Consider the following 5,931-nt stretch of genomic DNA (forward strand, 5'->3'; position numbering starts at 1 on the left):
GCCACTGCACTCCAGCCTGGGTGACAAAGCAAGACTCTGTCTCAAAACAAATAAAAATATCGTTAAATATCCCATCATTTTCAGAGTACCAATTGTCTTAAGAATTCTCTCATTTATGAAAAAAAATCAAAAACTTGAACTCTGACCTGATAATTAAAAATGTTATGAAATAATTGTTTTTTTTTGGTTAGTATGGTTATATAGTTTATGTTTATTAATATTTTGGTTATTTTTGTTGTTGTTGTTTATTTTATTTTATTTTTTTTGAGGCAGAGTCTTGCTCTGTCACCCAGGCTGGAGTGCAATGGTGCGATCTCAGCTCACTGCAACCTCTGCCTCCCGGGTTCAAGCGATTCTCCTGCCTTGGCCTCCTGAGTACAGGCGTGTGCCACCACGCCTGGCTAATTTTTGTATTTTTAGTGGAGACGGGGTTTCACCATGTTGACCAGGCTGGTCTTGAACTCCTGATCTCAGGTGATCCACCCACCCCCGCCTCCCAAAGTGCTGGGATTTACAGGCGTGAGCCACCGGGCTTGGCCTATTTTTGGTTATTTTTTACAAGATTCTTTATTTTTGAGGTATATATATATATATCTCTCTCTGAGAATTTTGAATATATATATTCAGTATATATATATATTTACTGAAATATGAATGAGATGATAGAATGTCTGGGATGTGGTTTGAAATAATACAGGAGTGGTGATGAGTGGGTGGGGTTTAGATGAAATGATATTGCAATGAATTGATTGTTATTGAAACAGAGTGACAGGAAAGTGGGGATTTATTAAACTGCTCTGTTAACATTTATACATGTTTAGATTTTTCCATAGTAACAACAACAAAAAATCCAATAAAAAGGCCCCAAAGTGAATAAACACTCTAATGCACAAGTCCTTAAGCACATGTTTCTTTAGGGTATAAACTTGGAAGTGCGCCTTCAGTCTGCTAAAGAGTGCCAAGTTGCTCCCCAGAGTCAATTGTCAGCCTTTGACAGAGTCCAGTAGGAACTCAGATTGCCTCCCGTTGAGGACAATGAGCCGCCTCTCTTGTGTTAAGCCTTTTCTGCCGTTCCCATTGTGATTCTACTGGGGGTGGAGAGGAGGGTGCCTCAACTCCTGAGGGCAATGGGACGGTGAGGGGATGCAGCTGGATCCAAATAGCAATTTCTGGACCATGAATCCTTGCCTAAGTCAACTTACTGTTTTTCTCCTACCATTGAGCCTTTATTCTGGGTATCAAGTTATAAAACTGAGCTGGGGTCTCCTCACCCAGCACAGTAAGACCAGACATCCACACTGAGGTTCTGCAGTGATAGAAAGGAAGCTGTTGGTTTGCAGGGTGCCAAACAAGGAGGACCAGGCCATAATGCTCAAATCCTGACCTCCCCTATATCTTGCAGGAAGAGATTTTTAAAGGCAGGGGTAAATTTCAGGAAGCAGAAATTACTGGCAAAATTAGAAATCAATGCATGAGGTTACACATTGGTTTTGGCCTAAAAGGGTGGGAGATCTTGAAGCAGTGACTTCCAGGTCACGGGTAGGTTCAAAGCTTTTCTGATTTGCAATTGGTTAAGGAAGACAGGCTCTATTTAAAAATTTGAGGTCAGCAGAAAAATAAATGTTAGCTCTGTCTCATGGGTATGACTCCCTCCAAATCCCTCAGGAAGAAATTTAGAACACAGAATGGTGGTCAGAGTTCAATCCTCAGCTCCCTCTTATCTGGGGTCTACTTGAATCTGTTTGGTGAGAGTCTGGGTTTCTGAAAAACAACTCAGAAACACAGGTTCAGATGTTACCTTTAGTTTTGATAGGGGCACCAAATGTCTCCTGACTCCAACTTCCTTTGCTATTGTTTTAGGCCACTAATTACCTCGTTGCTTACCGAGTTGTTCATTTACTTCTCACGGCTAGCTAGCTAGGTACCTGGAATTCCCCTTTCAAGGAACTCAAGATTTTCCTTTATTTTCATACTTGGCGGGGCTCACAGGCCCCTAAAAGCTGGGGAGTGTCTTTGCTCCATCTCAATAAATCTCACCCAATTTACAAAAATATGCATACAGCTGCTTTTTTGTTACAAGAGAAATACATGTTTATGATAGAAACTTAAGACATTATAAGTAAATAAAAAGAAGAAAATAAAAATCGGCCTTATGTACCGTAGCGGCTGCCGGCATTCATTGGTCACTTTGTCTTTTTTCTGGGTTAATACTCTACATTTTACTTGAAATGTGCTCTCTTCACTTCAGATTTGTTTTTTCATATCATTAAACATTCTTTTACAATACAGTTGATGATGTCTTGGTATGTTTTTTGTAGAAATGACACAATTCATTTAAATAATTCCCAATTGTTCAACACTTAGACTGTTTCCCAAAGTTCTCTATTTTTTCCCATTTTTGCCTTATGTGCATTTTGAAGCAGGGCTCAGAGCTTTGACTTACCTCCAAACAGAGCCAACTCCACTGTGAGTTAGAAGACATGAATGTTTCATGGAGAAACAGAAACTTAGCCATTTGATATTTGTGCTTTGTACCCATTCTCCTTTCCAGACACTGGCCTCTTCTCTCTTTTTTTCTCTTTCCCAGACAGTTTCTAAATGTCCCTTATGATGTCCAGAGTTGAGAGTCATTCATCTCTGTACACTCAGCAAAGCAAAAAGTTCTGCGGTCAGCAGAACGAACCATCTTGACGTAGCAGTTCAGGGACCATCGATTTTAACTCATATGTCCCTTGAAAGGTTCACCAAATAATTTATCAAAGTATTATGGTTATTTCCTTGAGATAAATTCTTAGAGGTGGAACTGCTGGATCAGAAAGCATAAAAAAGGGAATGTTTTCGATGACTTAGGAACAAGGGTGTCAGGTGTGTTGATTTGCTTTCTGCCAGTGCTCTTGAGAGAATGTTGATTTGACTGCAGTCATTAACTAGCTGAGATTTCGAGTAGAATTCCTCTGGTTCATTTGTCATTCTATTCCCTGTCACCGTACTTGGCAGTAGAGCATCAGAGCTCTGTCTGGGAAGTACAACCACTATGAGTGGTATGAATAAGGGATTTGTTATAAAGCTTAGACTTTATGCAACTGTGCAAGGGCTAAGCAAGTATAGTTCTGAAAGGAGATTGGGTAGCATCATAGAAAAATCACCAACAAGGGGCCATGAAGGGGAGCTGTGGTTGGCCTGAGGGAGTTGTAGGTCAGCAGGGCAGGCAGTTGGGAAGAAAAGCTGGCTGTGAAGCAGAGGGAAATAGTCAAGTAGAACGCAAAAGGGCAAACTGGAGCCTGAATCTGTGTTTCACTGATGTCTAACTCCAGTGGTGCTGATGACCTATCAAACAATCGGTGCCTTTTGCTATGGAGCTGTGCATGTGTCTGGCCCAGGACTAGTTGAAGCTGAAGGAGTTGATCTAGTGGGAGCTGAAGGAGCTGTGTGCCCTGCCTCTGCCCCATGCTAACAAGACTAGCCAGCAGATCAGCCCCTGGGGCCTCCAAGGCACTTAAAGCATAACGGCTGCTGTTATGTAGCTTCCAAACCGCATGCAAATCTTCCTTGTGTGCAATCCTCACTTGGAACCATCTGGGGAAAGGACTTTTGGGAAGCATAGCTCCAGCTTAGCTAAGTTGACAGAGTAAAACCACCACAAGCAGTGCCTGTAGGACTCAGTGCCAGGACAGAAAAGTGAATTCTAGTGAAGATAGTATTTACTATTGCCTAGGGAAGCTTACAGAGGTAGCAAAGCCAGAAAAATTTTGCTGATGTGTTTTCCTGTAAGGGAAGAAGTTTCCCAGAAGGGAAAACAAGCTCAACACTGAGGAGAGAATTCTGCAGAGAAATGTTATACTTTCTCCCATGAGAGAAATTACTGAACCAAATATTCTCAGGTCTTTTGGTAGAGGCATTGATGAGCCAATCAGAGAAGGACCATGTGTTTGTATCATTTCTCTGAAACAGACTTAGGAAGTAATCTGAGCTAACCTATGTATAAAAATCTCTGTAAAGGACATGAAAATACCCCCAATCAATAATTAGAAGCTATTGTTATTGGAGATGCTGCTAATCTTGTATCATGAAGAATTTATACAATTACAGAAGTTGAACTTGTCTGTAGCAGCAGTCCTCTTCAGAACCCAGAGAACCTATTGTATTTTATTGCACTTATGGGATATTTGTCATATGTTCCAAACACAGGCAATAAATTATAATATTAAATAATTCAAGCCAGGCATGGTAGCTCACACCTATAATCCCAGAACTTTGGGAGGCTGAGGTGGTGGACCACGTGAGGCCAGGAGTTCAAGACTAGCCTGGCCAATATGGTGAAAGCCTGTCTCTACTAAAAATACAAAACTTAGCTGGGCATGGTGGTACACACCTGTAATCTCAGCTACTTGGGAGGCTGAGGCAAGAGAATTGCTTGAACCCGGGAGGCGGAGGTTGCAGTGAGCTGAGACCATGCCACTGCACTCCAGCCTGGGCTGGAACAAAAAAAAAGAATTCGAAATGGTAGTAGTCAACTACTGAATCTCACTGCTTTGGAAGAGACCTCCAGTGGTAAACTTGAACATTTTCAAAATTTTCCTGTTTATGGCATAATTTTTTTTTCAGCTTTATTGACAACAGTGGCAGTGTCAGAGACAGCCTGATAAAAGACAATGAGGGGAGGCTCAGCCATAATAACGTAGGTGGTGGAACTCAGATGCCTCTATCTTTGTATCCTTGTTCTTATTGTGGCTATCGGTCCCCACAATACTTCTAGTCTCAGTCAGGACCGATATTCCTGCCTATTGCACTGCCTGATTCTTTGATGTTTTCCAGACACATTTTGCTCAATATAGCTGGGTTTTATCATGAGGAGTCCTTTAGAAAATCCCCAAAGGGGGTCAGACATTACTGGTACAACTCTGGAAAGATCTTTTCCATTCTAACAGCAAAAGATGAGAATTCCAGATTATCACCACTGCTCTTAGGTGAGATACACTGACCAGAGTTCTGCTTGAAAGTGACCCTAGACTGGGATTCAAAGACACCTTCCAAAACCACACCACCAAACCGAGCCACCAAGGGAGCTGCTCCTCCACAAGTGGGAGTTGCTGATCCAGGCAGCTGCCCTACAGCTGCAGCCTTTCTCCAGCCTTTCCAACAATTCTAAGAGCACTTTATATCCTTAGCAACTCCTTTGCATTTAAACTAATTTAGGTGGATACCGTTGTCTACAGTAAGGGCCCTGACTAATAAAGCAATTGGCCCTAGAATCTGAGTAGAGGAAGAGTTGGTTTTTTTTTTCTTTTTCTTTCTTTCTTTTTTGTATTTTAAACTTCACTAGCAGGAAAGAGTTGTTTTTTTCAATCCTGAGAGGGAACTAGGTTGATGGAGATTAAGGAACACAGCAGAAAGCACCTGCTTTGACATAATTTTCTTTCTCCCCGTCTTTGCTTTCAAACCAGCCATCCTGACCCTCAATTCACTGTTTGTTGTTGAGTCCTCCTGAAAGGTACGAGAAGCAGCTGCCACTTGCTGATATACTCTATTTTTTTTTTCTTAAAGCTACTAATCTGGTTGGCACCTTTCATCAAACTCCTACAAAGTGAGCCTCTGGGACCACCTGGATCTGTCTCTCTTCTGGCCCAGAATCTTTCAGACAACCAAATCTCCTCTCTTTTGGGCAGAGGATAATGTCTGAATATTCTTTTGCTTTGATTGACAGGAAATAAAGGGCACTTGAAACAGCAGGAGCTGCCTCTGGAGCTGGGTCCAGGGTTTGGTGGGGCCTGAAGCTTATGTAATTCTGGGGCCTCCTTGAAGAAAAATAGTACAAAACTACAAATACAAAATTAGTGATCAAAGTGGATCCTTAGGATTGGAAAAGAAATCACAACAAACTACAAATTTTAAAAAATTGAAAAATAACACAAGCTTCAGAAAGTGCAGAAA

This window comes from Homo sapiens, chromosome 9, assembly GCF_000001405.40.
Source record: "Homo sapiens chromosome 9, GRCh38.p14 Primary Assembly".
Taxonomy (NCBI): Eukaryota; Metazoa; Chordata; class Mammalia; order Primates; family Hominidae; genus Homo; species Homo sapiens.